Source organism: Homo sapiens, chromosome 20, assembly GCF_000001405.40.
Source record: "Homo sapiens chromosome 20, GRCh38.p14 Primary Assembly".
NCBI classification, from domain to species: Eukaryota; Metazoa; Chordata; class Mammalia; order Primates; family Hominidae; genus Homo; species Homo sapiens.
The window spans coordinates 24,438,599-24,453,391 of record NC_000020.11 but is presented as its reverse complement, the minus strand read 5'-3'; the positions used below and the strand labels follow the sequence as shown (position 1 = coordinate 24,453,391).

At 48.9% G+C, this 14,793-nt stretch overlaps 1 pseudogene, besides 5 other annotated features; it reads right to left on the bottom strand.

The window, feature by feature from the left end:
- Positions 608-1,108: an enhancer, noted in NCBI's record as "H3K4me1 hESC enhancer chr20:24432920-24433420 (GRCh37/hg19 assembly coordinates)". NCBI's record gives its function as "activates a minimal SCP1, AML or CMV promoter by ChIP-STARR-seq in primed H9 embryonic stem cells {active_cell/tissue: H9 hESC(primed)}" and the evidence as "EXISTENCE:reporter gene assay evidence [ECO:0000049][PMID:30033119]".
- GAPDHP53 (glyceraldehyde 3 phosphate dehydrogenase pseudogene 53) lies at positions 7,078-7,980 on the bottom strand (annotated as a pseudogene).
- Positions 7,434-8,165: an enhancer, noted in NCBI's record as "H3K4me1 hESC enhancer chr20:24425863-24426594 (GRCh37/hg19 assembly coordinates)". NCBI's record gives its function as "activates a minimal SCP1, AML or CMV promoter by ChIP-STARR-seq in primed H9 embryonic stem cells {active_cell/tissue: H9 hESC(primed)}" and the evidence as "EXISTENCE:reporter gene assay evidence [ECO:0000049][PMID:30033119]".
- Positions 8,483-9,153: an enhancer, noted in NCBI's record as "NANOG-H3K27ac-H3K4me1 hESC enhancer chr20:24424875-24425545 (GRCh37/hg19 assembly coordinates)". NCBI's record gives its function as "activates a minimal SCP1, AML or CMV promoter by ChIP-STARR-seq in primed H9 embryonic stem cells {active_cell/tissue: H9 hESC(primed)}" and the evidence as "EXISTENCE:reporter gene assay evidence [ECO:0000049][PMID:30033119]".
- Positions 9,154-9,825: an enhancer, noted in NCBI's record as "OCT4-NANOG-H3K27ac-H3K4me1 hESC enhancer chr20:24424203-24424874 (GRCh37/hg19 assembly coordinates)". NCBI's record gives its function as "activates a minimal SCP1, AML or CMV promoter by ChIP-STARR-seq in naive and primed H9 embryonic stem cells {active_cell/tissue: H9 hESC(naive and primed)}" and the evidence as "EXISTENCE:reporter gene assay evidence [ECO:0000049][PMID:30033119]".
- Positions 9,826-10,497: an enhancer, noted in NCBI's record as "OCT4-NANOG-H3K27ac-H3K4me1 hESC enhancer chr20:24423531-24424202 (GRCh37/hg19 assembly coordinates)". NCBI's record gives its function as "activates a minimal SCP1, AML or CMV promoter by ChIP-STARR-seq in naive H9 embryonic stem cells {active_cell/tissue: H9 hESC(naive)}" and the evidence as "EXISTENCE:reporter gene assay evidence [ECO:0000049][PMID:30033119]".

Below are 14,793 nucleotides of genomic sequence, written 5' to 3'. Positions count from 1 at the left end.
CTGGCTGGTCCCTGTACTCAAGGAACTTATGTTCCACTGGGGGAAGAAAGAAAGGAATCCCAAGATGACGCCAAGTGTTGTGAGACCATAAAGTCAGGGAGATGTGCAGGTGCAGTTCCTGGGGATGTCGGGGAGTGTCCCACTGCATGGGGGACCTGCCACCTGAAACCCCAGGATGGGAAGGAGTAGCTGTGGGAGCATCCAGGAGAGAACACACCAGGTAGAAGGAAGGGCAGGAGTTCAGACCCTAAGTCCGAGTGGCCTGGGATTATTTGAAGAACAGAAAGCAGGTCAGTGCAGCCAGACCGCATTGGGACTAGAAGAGAGTGGCCTCAAACCAAGCTGGAGAGTGAGTGCTGGCGGCTGATGCTGAGCTTTGCAGGCCGTGGTCAGCGTTTGAATGCTCCTGTGAGCACACAGGGAGCCTTGGCTGGGGTGTGGGCTCAGGGAAGGCCCTCAACAGGCAGGGCAGGCTGATCTGACCTATCCAACAATACCACCCTGGGCTGGGCTGCTGCTGAGAGAATGGCCTGCAGGGAGCAGGGCAGGACCTAGGCAAGCGGTCCAGAGATGACTACACAGTCCAAGAGTGAGGTGATGGTAATGGACTGAGGGTGGGGAGAACAGGACATATCTGGCACGGGTCAGAGGCAGAGCCAGGAGAACTTTCTGGTGGGTGAAGGAGGGCTGGAGGGAAAGGGGGCCACCAAGAGTGGCTCCACGGTGTGTGGCAGAAGCTGCCCGGTGCCACCTGTGGCTCTGGCCATCAGCCCTGGGGCAGAGGGAACTGTGGCATGGCGGGCAGAGATCAATGGAGGTGGAGCAGGAGTTCCAGTGGCTGTTCCATGGCAGAAGAATGAGGCAGGGGTTGGAGCCAGAGATTGGGATCTGGGAGATCTGGGAGTCTTTGGCATTTGGACCCATTGACAGATGTACAGCTTGATGACATTGCTTGGTTTAGGAGTAAAGAGAGAACAGAAAACGGCCTGGCCAGGTGCTGCAACACAGCCACATGTTCCTTGGGAGACAGTGAAGTAGAGATCCTCAAAGGAGACGGAAAGCCAATGGCCATAGAGCAGGATATGGAGGGGGTGCCGTCCTAACAACCAGGGGCCAGACATGTAGGACACCTGAACACCTTAAGGCAGAGAGGAGGCCCTGCACTACAGGGATACAGCCAGCCCCGGCCTCGCCCAGCCCCACCAGCTGCCCCACACCTCAAGGTCATATCTCCCTAGTGACGGAGCCGCCCTGAGGGCTTGGAAGAGGTCACTGGGGGCCTGGGGGCCTGGACTAAAGGGAGTTCTGTACAGGGGTATGGCTGGAGGACAAGTGGAGGGAGTGAGCAGGGAACAGCCTCTCTCTGAAATGAAACGAGGGCATCTCCCGAGTGTTGCCAGAGCCATGCCCTATATAAAAGCAATGATTCCCACCTCGACTGCCCTTGGAAAGTGGGTTAGGCACTGGACTCTTTTCAAGATAAATCGGGAGTGAGGCTTGGCGGAGAGGATCTGGATCAGCAGATAAACGGGAGGTAGCAGAGGAAGTTGGGAATGAGCACATGAGTGAGGGGTCCAAGGGAGTGCCTGCAGAGCAGTGCCTGGTGCCGGTCGGGAGGGGCAGGAGTGTGTGTGAGTGAGGGAGTGAGTGTGTATATGTGAATGTATGCATGTGAGTGCATGCAAGTATGTGAGTGTGTGAGTGTATGTGTGAGTGCATGCAAGCATTGTGTGTGTGTATGTGTGAGTGTATGCATGTAAGTGCATGCAAGCATGTGAGTGCCTGTCTGTGCATGTGGGAGTGTGTGTGTGTGTGTGTGTTTTGTGAGTGTGTGTGTCTGTGTGTGCAGGCAGCAGCAGTGGTGAATGGCTGAGCTGGCAGGAAGGCGCTCTTTGGCACCAGGCTGCAGGCTCTGCCATGGGTCTACCCAGGCCATCATTTTTACTGACATGAGTCAAGAGTCTCATATTTAGGCACAAGCACAAATTCTGGGCATGGAGGAACCAGAATGCATTGCTGATTTTTACTATAAGCTTCAAAAATAAAAATCCTCTTGAGAAGCCAGGGGTCAGCACCAAATTGAGAAGAAGAAATTGACCAGGAGAAGCCTGGCTGCTCTTTTGAAAGGGACACAAAAAGGAGAGGCCCTGTGAAGAGGACAGTGGACACAAGAAGGATGTCTGGCTGTGCACCGTGGGGAGGGGGCACGACCTGGAGGGTTCAGCGCCAAACGGGGGCAGTAAGGAGAGCAGGACTAGGCATTCACACATGCGAGTATTCGGGGTGCAGATAAGTCCTAGGAGCCTCTGGCGGAAACGGCACTGCTGGTGTCTGTCAGGAAGAGCCCAGAGCTCCTGGGGAAGCCCTGCCAGTGCCCAGCAAGGCTGCAGGACCAGCCCTCAGCAGCCAGAGCAGTGGCCCTGGTGCTGAGTGGGTTACCATCTGCACTTGGGCCCTTTCCACTCAGAGACTGGGACCTGCCATGCGCTACGTCCACCGTGCCCCTTTGTGTTGGACATGCATGTTGTTGGCAGTGCTTAATGCATACAGAAAGCTCTCTACAGCATGTTCAAGTGCATTCTGCCAAGGATCTCATTACTTTTGCTTCAGCAGAAGCTACATGGCCTTGGAACACCATCAGGAGCTCAAGGGGGACATTTTTCAGCAGCTGATGAGCTGGACTGCCACCCACCTTCCTCTGAGGAATATCAGCCTCATAACAGTGTAACTGACATTTCTGTCTAGTTAATTCCCATTAAAAGCATCACAAACCACAATGAAAATAAATAAAAGGTCTGATTTATCCAATTAAAAACATACTGAGATCTGGGGTATCTCCCAGGAAATGTCATAGAAAGATGAAAGCTTACTACTTCCTATCAGACACACCCCACCAGTGGAAAGGCAAGTAAGATGGGTAATAAGAGGAATACCAGATGACTAGGAAATGCTAACATGTTCACTAAACAAGGTGATTATGGAATTCCAAAGGCCCAAGTGTGTGTGCTGCAGAAACAGCGAGTGGGTAGGGCTTTCCTAAGCCCGGTAGCAGGTATGGAAATGTACTAGGTTTCAAAGGTCTCAAAAGCACAGGGAATAGGACACTGAAAGTGCAGGTAACAAAAGAAAAACCAGGGAAATGAAACTTCACCAGAATTAAATACTTTTGTGCATCAAAGGACACTATTGACAAAGTGACAAGGCAGCCAAGCCATGAAATGGGAGACAATATTTGCAAATTATATATCTGATAAAGGGTTAATATTTAAAATAGGCCTGGCGCGGTGGTTCATGCCTGTAATCCCAGCACTTTGGGAGGCTGAGGCAGGTGGATCACCTGAGGTCAAGCACTTGAGACCAGCCTAGCCAACATGGTGAAATCCCATCTCTACTAAAAATAAAAAAATTAACCCGGCATGGTGGTGTGTGCCTGTAATGCCAGCTACTCAGGAGGCTGAGGCAGGAGAATTTCTTGAACCCTGGAGGTGGAGGTTGCAGTCAGCTGAGATTGCGCCACTGCTCTCCAGCCTGGGCAACAGAGCGAGACTCTGTCTAAATATATATATATATTTAGGGATATGGCTTATATATATATATATAATATATATAAATATATGTATTTTATATATGTATATTTAAAATATATAAAGGGCTCCTATGACTCAACAGCAATGAACAGCCTGATTTAAATATGGCAAATGTAGACGTTTCTTCATTGATGATAACCAAATGGCCAATACGTTTGTGTGTTCAACATCATTAATAATCAGGAAAATGCAAACCAAAACCACAATGAGATACCAATTCACAGTCACTAGGATGGCTATTACAAACAAAACAAAACAGAAAATCACACATGTGATTGAGGATGTGAAGTTGAAACTGGAACCCTTGTGCAGTGCTGGAGGGAACGTCAAACCGCTGTGGTAAATGGTATGACCATCCTTCAAAAAATTAAAAATAGAATCACCATATGATCCAGCAATTCCACTCCGGGGTATCTACCCCAAATAACTGGAATCTGAGACTTTAACAGATATTTGCACACCCATAATCACAGCAGCATTATTCATAGTAGCAAAAGGTAGACGCAAACCAATTGCCCATCAGCAGCTGAACAGATATGCAAAATGTGGTGAATACATCAAATAGAATATATTCCGCCTTACAAAGGAATAAAGTACTGATGTGCTATGACGCATGGTGAACCTGGAAGACATTATACTAAGTGAAGTAAGCGAGACAAAAAAGGTCAAATACTGTGTGGTTCCACTTAGGTGAGGTCCCTGGAGTTTTCAAATTCATGGAGAGAAAGTAGAAGGGTGAGTGCAGGAGCTGGGGGGAGCATGGAGATAGGAAGTGACTGTTTAATGGGTATGAAGCTTCAGTTTGGGAATATGAAAATGTTCTTGAGATGGACATTGGTGATGGTTGAACACTAATGTGAATGTACTTAATGTCACTCAGCCGTGCACTTAAAAGTGACTAGAATTGTAACGTTTATGTTATGTGTATTTCATCACAATAAAAAATAACATAGAAGTTGCAGAACTTCAAATGTGTGAAAAAATGTGATGTAGGTGAGGTTTTTTTCCTTGTGAAGTGATGTGTTTTCCCTTTTGAAGTTGCATTTGCAGCTGGGAGATGAACCAGTCCCCACCCGCTTTTCCGGGTGCTCGGGGTCCCACCTGCCAGTCCACACTGAATTGTGATTGGCTTCATGTGCAGCCCTTACCTGGGGCGGTTATGTTTTAAATTAGCACAAAGAAAAATGAAAATGAATAAGCTGGGGGAAGACTCCCTTGCTGACTGTGAGTGGTCGCTGACAGGAACTGCCCCTCGGCCCCACAGGACTGTCAGAGGCCACAGGCTGGAGGCATGTTCTGGGTGCCAGCTGTCCCAGGAGTGGCCTCTTGCTCTGGAGACACCTCTGGCTTTTACTTTTGTTTTATTACCCTCTGCGCACCCCCACACCCGCCCTATGAGCTGAGGTGCAGTCTCCAGCCCACAGCCTTATCTCTACCCCCATCTTGAGGCGGAGCAGTTCTAGCAGTCACCCTGTCCCCAGGCTTTGACTCTGCTTTGAGCCCACTTCTTCCATGTTTGCTAAAGCTTGCGGCTCATCGGACCTGATGCCACAGCCTAAGGCCTCAGACTGTAACCGAGTACCCCATTTTCCTAAAAGTCATCTTTACCTTTTCTCTTTTTCCCTGTGTGTTCACTTCTTACTTAGCTCTTTAGGAATGCACCTATAACCGTTCCCTTCTCTCCACCAGGCACTCCCTGCACTGCAAGCTTATCTCTCTGTATGTTTGCTTGGAAATTCAGAGGACCAAATGTTGAACCAAACCAGGAACCCTCTGGGTTTCACCCCACCAGGAGATTGCCTCGAGACAATCGTCAACTTACAATCTAGCTCTGCCCACGACAGCACCAGCCAGACCACCCGATGGATAAGACATTGAAATAAGTCATGCAGACCCCGCATCTCCTCCCCAGTCCCCTGCATGCCGTTCATGCCAAGTTCCCCTTTAAAGCCCCTGCTTTCTGCTTCTACAGGTGAAGCTGTTCCCTTAAGGCAGAAGCCTGTATCCTCTTCCCCTTAGCCAAGCTCTGGAATGGTCACTTTCTCTCTATCTGACCTCTCTCTTGTTAACTGGACTCTGTAAGCAGTGAGCAGCAGGCCTTGCCTTCAGTCCAAGCCCCTTGCAATCCACTGCTCCAGGTATGGTGACCCTAATGGGCTTCTGAAGCAGCATGAGTGACAGGAGAATTTGGAGACAAGGACAACTCCTTTCCTCCCTTCAGACCCACCCAGGTGGAAAACAACTCATTTTCCCCGTTGCAACAGCGATCAGCATCGGAGTGTGTGCCTGTGAAGGCAGGGGGCTCAGGGCAAACAGGCAGCCCGAGGGGCTCTGCTACCAGGTGCAGGGTGCATGACGCCTTCCAGCTTCACCACAGAAGCCAGCCTGTAGTCTCCCACCTCATGGCAGGTGGAGGTGGCCCACTATTTAGGGAGCAACTTCCAGATCTGAAGTTCCTGTTGAGTTCACCTTGCAGGAAAGGAAGGAGCCCTGTGGAGAGGTCAGTGGTGTAACCTTTGCTGTGTCAGACACAGGTTGAGGTCAATGGGGAAGGAGTGTGTTCACACAGGTCCAAGGTAAGTTGTCCCCTAAACTGTACCTTCCAGGCAAGAAGGAGCCAATTATCTGGAGAAGAGAGTGATGTTAATTAGGTAATATTTGACTTGAATGAGAAGAGTGGAGATGAGAGGTTTGGGGTAAGAGGTGAGAGGAGGGCTGAAGTCAAGGGCAGCAGCTTGGATGGAAAGACAGGAAGTGAATGTGAGGGCTGCTGGGACAAGGAGGAGAGGCAGCCTGCCTGAGTGGAGGACACCTGGCCCTGGGGGGTCCTGGCAATTGAGACTCATCTCCCACAAAGCCGCTTCCTGAGCTAGGAAGGGCTGGCCTCCTCAAGGTCATTCTTGCTACAGGGGCAAAGGGATTCGTGTGGGACTTAATGTTGTTCTTGTTAATCCTTCCAGATAGAGCAAAACCCAAAATAAAAAGACCAACAATACATGTGGCAGAAAATCCCCTCTTGGGAGTCACAGTGTATGGAAATCCACATGGAAAATGCATGACCAAATAGCAGTTGTCCTCCCTAGGGTTTAGTCATTTAAAGACAATTTAGTTGAGTTCCCTGCAAGAAGTTCCTTCTTTTTCACTGCAGCTGAAAACATGAACTTGACAATGTGATGTGACGCCAGGGGCAGCTCGCAGTTACTCTCAAGTGCGTGCCCACTCCCTCCTCGACATCGGAGTATGCTGCTTCACTGCTTTCCCGCTGCGCAGGCTAGAGAGGTCAGCACAGACAGCACTGATGGTGCAGGGCACGGCAGGGCTCTGGAAGCCCCACCACTGCCTCAGGGGCCTGATGAGAGAGCCTAGTGCAGAATGGGAGACCATCAATTGTTGGGAAGTGGAGCCGCTAGAGGCCAGGACTCTCAGTGGCTGAAGGCCTCTCTCTTCCTTTCATACCACTCCTGGGGCTGGTGGTCCAGGGCTCTTGCATCCTGGAGGCCATGAGAACTGTGAGGTCCACAAAGAGGCTGCTGTGGCCAAATGCATTATCATGCGAGGGAATGGGCTGGATAAAGGGATCATTGAGAGCAGTGCCAGCCCAAGACCAAGGCTGGGGGAGTGGGTGTGTGCCACCATTCAAGTCCCAGAAAACAACCTGTTCTTAGGGAAGCAAGAGTCTTAGTAGGGGTCTCTGACACCCACTGGGCCACCTTCTTGGTGTCACTGTGTTTGGTATATTTCTCCAGACAGGCAGGTCAGCTCAGTGGGGGCACAGAAAGCTGTGCCAGTGAGCATCCCACTCAGTTCAGGGAGGGCCTTGCCTGCTGCCTTGGCATTTGAGCAGCTCCATGTCCACCTTGCCACAGTTAGCCACAAAGTCTTCTGGAGGGCAGGATGGTGTAGACTGTCGTCCCGAGCCTCTCCATGATGCCAACATTGCTAAAGTTGCTCGAGGGCAGGGAGGACAAGTGGCTCATGGTGCAGGAGGTGTTGCTGAGTCTGGTGGCAGCTCTGCTCTCATTCCTGACTCCCACGACAAACACAGACTTCACAGAAGTGGCAAACACGCTGACCCTGCGGCTCCACCATTCAAGGGAGCCCAGCTTCTCTAAGGCACTGACAGCTCTAGTAGTCTCCGCTGCTCATTACCGTTGCATGCCGCAGGCGGGGGATGGGGAGTTGGGAGGGGGGCTGCTCATAGAGGATGGAGACAGGTCCTTAATCACAGGCTTCCTGCCCTCCGCTTGAAGGAGCTCTTGAACTTGCCTTGGGTAGGACTGCACTAGAGCATGCAGACCATGTAGTTAAAGTCTATGCCGGGGTCCTTGATAGCTCTACTGTCCACTTTGTCAGTGCTGGAGGCAGCCCTGAAGAGCAGGTGCCCAATCTGAGCCCCACATGCTACAGCCATCTTTCCAGTCTTGGGGAGCTCTAAACTTCCCTCCTGTCTGGTCTACACTGCAGTGGTCTTCTAGAAAACAAAAAGAAGGGGTGGTTGTCTTTTGGGTGCCTGGAAACTGCTGCTTCAGCTCAGGAGAAGAAATCCTCCCCCTTTCACACCCAGCCCAGATGAGGAACACCCAGTCTGGCTACATTCTTGGGAGTGGGTAGGAAGAGGGAAGGGGGCCACTAGCAATCAGAGTAAGATATGAGTTTGTGTCAGTAATATTTCAGCTCACTAGGTGTATATTAAGTCCTTTGAGTGGGCAAGAATTATTAGTAATGACCTACCTAACAGGACCTCAGCCCCAGGAAGCCCAGCCTCCGGTCCTATTAGGTAGCTGAGTACGGACCAGCCCCCCTGGGGGCAGGGGTCTCAGATGTGGGCGGTGATGTCCACTTTGGCTGTTGAAACACTGGCCACCCAGTGAAGATGTGGCCAACATGGCTAAAGAAATGGAAAACCTGGGCTCAAATGTAACCTGGCCTTTACACTTTTCCAGGTTTCCTTTGGATGCAGCAGAACCACTTGTTGCTTTGTACACATTGCCGTCAGTGCCGAGACACAGCAGGGACCCCTCTTAGGGGGGGCCATCCCCCAGCTCCTAAGTGCGGAAATAAAGGAAAATCTTGAGTGCCTTCAAGGGAAATTCCAGACACCCAGCTAGCTCTGACAAGTAAATGAGCAACTTGATAAGCAAGAAGGCAACAGTAGCTTAAAACAATAGCCAAGGAAGTTAAAGTCACAGGGGATACCATGTTAACATATGACCCTGAGTTGTTTTTCAGAAAACCACACCCCCCAACAAATGGACCTGCTGGTACGTGGACCCCATATAAGGGGGACTGAGGAGTGAGGTCTGCCTGCCTTTCCTTGCTCTCAGTTTCTTCTTGAGGAGCCTGGAGGTCATGCCCACAGGCCAGAGCTAACACTCTTTTCTGCTGACCCCCAGTCTAGACAAATGTTCCTTCCTTAACCTATCGCAAATCAGAAAATCTTTAACTCTACCTACAACCTGTGGACCCCCACTTGGAGATGTTCTGCCTTTTTTGGTCATTGATTGATGACTTGGCCTGTGACCTCTGCCTCCCCTCCTTTAAAAACACTTAACTGCAAGGGCAGCTTTGGTCTCAAGCCTGAGCTGCCTGATTCTCCTTGCGTGGTGTTCTGCCATAAATGCCTGGGTTTCTGTTGCTGCAGTCCTGATGTCAGTGTTTGGTTTTGCTGCACAGGGCAAGAGGACCTGAGTTTGGTTTGGTGACAGTACATATGGACCCTTAGCCTCTGTCATTTGTATACCCGCCTGTCTCTGTGGGGAGTCGTGAGCTGTGGAGGGCAGGAGCATCTCTCCAAACCTGGCTCAGCAATGTTTGCTGACTGGCTAAATGCTGTGTCCACTGGTAACTCTAGGACCCCCTTCAGTTAACTCACAATGCTATGATACAGATGGAACATGCTGCCTTTCTACGAGTAGTTGCTCATGCTTATTAGCAAGGTATTATGTAAGTATCAACTGTTGTTACTCCTCTTCTGGATGATTACTAATTTCTGCATTTCTCTCCCTGGATCCTTTGTTTCCTTGGGCGGCATCCTTAATCTGTGGTAGCCCCAGGCCCAGGCTGCCTGCTGGGGGCTTGAGGATCCCTCCTGGGAGCCTCCTTTCTAAATACTGCCTTTCATTGCCCATCTAGCAAGGTCTCCAGGTGCAAAGGCTGCTTCCAGTCATTTCCAGATGAGCTGTAGAGGGAAACACGCCCCCAAGGAGTAGCCTGCTAGAAGGCAGATAGCCTGCTTGCCACTAGAATCCCCTGGGTCTAGGAATCTGCATTTGAAAGGGGAACTGTGATTTCAGTGGAGGCAGCCTTAGCCTGGGGTGCATTTGGAAATCCTGGGCTACTGCAAAGACATGCCTTACAGTCTAAGTTTCTCATAGGGAAAAATGTGACTTGATGCCTTTTCTTCACTTTACAAATACTTCTTGAAGTGACTTTGTGTGCTGTGGCTGATGGAATTCTAAGTTGGCACCAAGAGTCCTGCTCATCTTCCCTCAGTCACTTAATGAAACATGAATTGAGGTTGGGCCATGAAGGAATTCCGCAGAAGTAATGAAGGTCTCAGGTGAGTTGGTTGTAAGATGGGGAGATTACCCAGCAGGCCTGACCTGGCCACAGGAACCCTTTCAATCTGTCTGCAGGTCACAGCCAGGAAGGTCAGGTTGTAGCTTGAAGTGAATTCAGCAGGGGTGGGGTTCTCCACTGGAGATGGATGGCCCACATGGCAGGAAGCTGGGCGTGGTCTCTAGAAGCCAAGAGTGGTCACTGGGATCAGCTGGAAAACAGCTCAGTCCTGGAGCTGCAAGGCTGAATTCAGCTGAGAACTCAATGACCCTGGAGGCAGATTCCTCCCAGACAGGCCGGCTGACACCTTGCAAGACCCCAAGCAGAAAATCCAGCCATCTGCCCAACCTCTGACCAACAGAAATGGGAACTATTAAATGCATGTTGTTTTGAGCTACTTGATTTGTGGTAGTTTGTTATGCAGCAAGGGTAAACGGTTGCAGTTGTCACTCACAGGGTTCTGACCCGCTGGCAATCAACAGCTCATTCTACCTGAAAGGCCTGGAAAGTCTACGGGAAAAGAGAGACCAGCAAAAAATGATTTCAAGGTTTTGTGGAAATTGCTGTAACAGAGACAGCGCAATGGGCATGAGGACTGAATTAGGTGCTTAGAAAACGGAATCAAAAGGAAACAGCCAAGGCTACTGATGAACATTTTGGCAGCTTAATACAGCACTTAACTGCCCAGTGTAGCACCCATACTGCAGTGTGGAATTTAGGTTCCTGTACTTGCTCTTCTTACAAGCATAGACTTCAGTATGTGACAAAGGAAACAGATGGAACTTTCTAGGAAGTTCTATCACATCCAGGCCTCATGCTCTAGAAAGATTGCTGTATGTTGAGCAAGTATAGCTTTGTTCCTCCAAGTAAAGAAGCAGTTTACCTGCCATACAGCAGTTAAAATGGCTCCCAAATGTACCTGGTCGGCAAACGGTAAGCCAGCCGTTATTGACATTATGTTTGCATCACACTTCTAATTACAACTGCTTTCCCAAACCATCCCACACACGTGTGATCCCTTTCATGTTTATAAATTCCTTGAGAGGAAGTGACTATTGAAAGCTGCATTTGTAGTTGTGGACTGGAGGATCAGCTCAATTCACTCACCCAAGATTGCACAGCTGCTCTGGTAGCGAAATGGGCTCAAGTGTAGGGACTCTGGCATCACCCCCTAATGCTCTCTTCTCTGGTCAGCCAGTACCTCCTGGATAGAACACCTTCCCCAGCTTCCCTTGTGTTCCACGCCTCTCACCAGCCCCCATTAGTCCAGGCAAGACAGAAGATTTCTTCATTAACGTGCCATGAATACACAGCATATGGACACAGAGGCAGCCGAGGCTGTGTCAGTGCACACAGTCATTACTTTAGCTCCTAGCAGATGGAAGAGGCCCCTGCCTTCCCACACAGAACAAGAGCTGCCCACAGGCACCAGGCGTATTGATGCAGGGCCTGATTACGAGGGTGCCCTGCCACGTTCACTGCGATTGAGGCACTCAGCGTTAGTGTATGATTGGTTTTCATGGCGAACAATTGCCAGCTGGTTTCACAAAGTCAGCTCTGTGACTTGCTCAAGATTGGCATGAAAAAGAGAAAAGATGAGAAATACATTGCTCTGATTCACAGAAGGGACTCTTTGACCTAAAATATGGGTGTGGGTGGAGGAGATAGGCAGCCAATGAGAGGGTGTTTGCAATGCTAGAGTGACAATGGGAAGAATAGACATTTAGAACTTAGTTATTTTCCATACCCTCTTCCTTCATGGATGGTAATGAGCTTCAGAATACTCATGATTGGGTACCTTAAAAGCAGAGCTTTTGGTACCCAGATGGGAATTTTCATCTATTGAGTCCTTGCCTTCAAAATGAATGCTGTTTAGCATGTCTCTAAACTTTCATAGAAAACAGCTTTCAATGACCATATTACTAGCACCTGTGAATTTTCAGGGAGACACTTTGGTCCCAGTTTGGAAAAAGGCGGGTGGCATAGTGGGTCTTCTTTTAGATGAGGAGCCCTGAATGTTTCCAGTGAGGGATACTATGCAGTCTGGGGAGAAGAATGCCAATAGCAGGTGCAATAGGAAGAGATTGGTGAGACATCATATAGGGTTCACAGTCAAATTCATCTCTGGGGACCCCACACAGCATAAGTGACATCAAAGACTTCACTGAGTCCCTCCCCAGTGAAGTGTGGAAAGTTTGAGCGATTTAAACAACTCCTCAGTAGTGAGCACCACACCGGCCAGATGGTTCCCACATTGGGGGCATGGGAGCCTTTCCTGATGGGGAGAGACAATGCATTTTCTTTTTTTATAATAATGTTCTTTCTGTTGTCAGCTAGCTCATTGAACAGACCACAAGTTTAACACTTAACGGAAGTGAGGTTGAATCCTGGTGGTCTGTACATGACCCTGGGGCGATGGCTAATCTTTTCCTCTCTTAGTTTCTACATCCACAAAGCAGGGACACTAATTTAAAGGTTGTTATGAGAATAATCAGGGTGGCCACCAAGCCTGGAACCACACAATGCATGGTTTATTGATACTATATTATAGTAGATGATAAATAATAGTATCTCTTTTCAGACTTTATGGTCACACTACACTCTTTTTGGTTAAGTGAGTAGAGAAACAAAAATCACCATGAATCAGTTTTAATTATAAATGGCATTGTGTCCAAAGCATTAGTGAAGAGGCTCAGCCTCTGCAGATGTTTTCTGGGGCTAAGGTCAGGGACCTACACCCACTAACTAGCAAATGGCCTGGTCTTTCTCCAGAGTCTGAGGTCTTAGCCTCCCATCTGAGCTGTGTAAAGGCTTGAGAGAAAGGGGTGTGCAGCCTCCTGGTCCCCAACAGCCACACATACCCCAGGCACAAAGGACAATTTGCCCTAACTGTTATGTGACACCAGCATTTCTTGTCTCCCCAGCTAAGTCCAGAACCACATGTCAGCTCTCCTCTTACTAAACTACTCTGACATCTTTCAACAGCACAGCTGAGGAGCAGCCAACTCTGTACCATGGGGCCTGCAGGAAAGCCTCTGAGCTGCTGTGGCAGATTGGATTCTCCTAAGCTGGCTGCACCAGCTTTTATCCCACGCCCTGCTCTGTGCATGGCATGATGCTCACACTCCTCCCTTTGAATCTGGGTGGGACCACAACTACCAGGAAGTGAGGCTGTGGAACCTCCAAGGCAAAATCCTAAGAGGTGGTATAGCATCTGCCTGGACACTTGCATACTCAATCATGGAGCCACCACCGTGCAGTGAGGAGGCCGAGCAGCCACATGGAGAGGTCACGTGCAGGTGCTCAAGACAGCCTCAGCCAGTATCCAGCTTTTTTCAACCACCAGGCGGGTGAGGGGGCCAGCCATGGGGTGAGGGGGCCAGCTGTCAGGTGATTTCATCCCCAGCCTTCGAGCTGTCCCGGCTGATATGATGTGGAAGCAAACAGACTCATCACACCCTGTGCACATTGCAGATTGGTGAGCAACATGAATGTGTTAACCTCTGCTAAGTTTTGAGGAGGCGTGTTCTTCAGCAACATGGCTGGGACACCTGCCCTTGATAAGGTACTGCCAATTATGAACCACACAGACATCAGCCTTCACTGATCTTCGGAGGACAGTGCCAGGTATGCAGAAGATGCCCACTTACTGTTTGTTGAATGAATGAACAAATAAACTCATGCATGGCAGCTGCCCATTCTAGCCACATGCACACACATATGTATCACATCCTGTCTCCCAGACTTCTCCCATCTTGTAGCAATGGCTGTGGTTCAGAGAGGACAGGGAGTAGCTATTCCAAGTAAGTTGGCTTACAGAATAATGATGACTATTACTAAACATATTATTAAGAATAATGATGGACTATTACTAAACACATTGTTATCTAATAAAAAAATTGTGACACCTTAGAAGACATTACTGTACTGCTTTTTAAAGACACACTTTGTAGGTTTGGGGAAAAAATGTGGGTTTTGGGAGTAACTAGAGAAGGAGTAAAATCAGAAGCTGGTGGTCAGCTGCTTCACCTCTGTCCTTCTAGCCACCTTCTCTATAAAACACAGAGGGATGTGGGTGAAGGTTTGAACATAGCTCTGGCATAAGATAACTTCTCAGAAAATGGTACAGACTATTTTTTGAAGTATAGGTGTTTTCAGTGAGAACTGAGTGTAGCTCACATTCTTGATGATAGTAAGGACAGATAGAGACAGCATTTTTGCCTCAGCAGTTCTCTTGTGATACCATTGCCCAAGGAGCACCAGAGGCTTTCTGCTGTCTGACAGAAGTTGTTTCTGTTGGATCATGGGGGTAAATCAGGGCTCTCTGTTCTTATGGTGATTTCATCCCAAATGTGTGTGGCTCAGAATCTTTCTGTCCACTAACTGGCTCCCAAACAGCATTTTCTTCCTGCATGTAGGCAATACTTATTTATAAGTTCTGTCCTGCTTGCTCCCGTCTAACTTGGGATTGGTAAAGAGTCTCTTGTTGATATATTCTGCTGGTATTGTTTTATCAAAATATCATTATTATGTATTCAAAGTAAAGAGTGGTTTTGAAAATAAAAAACAAAAAGGAAAAATGGCCAACTGAATAATCTTGGATGGTTGGTTTTCAAGGTGTGGTGATGGTGAGTACATCCTGTATCAG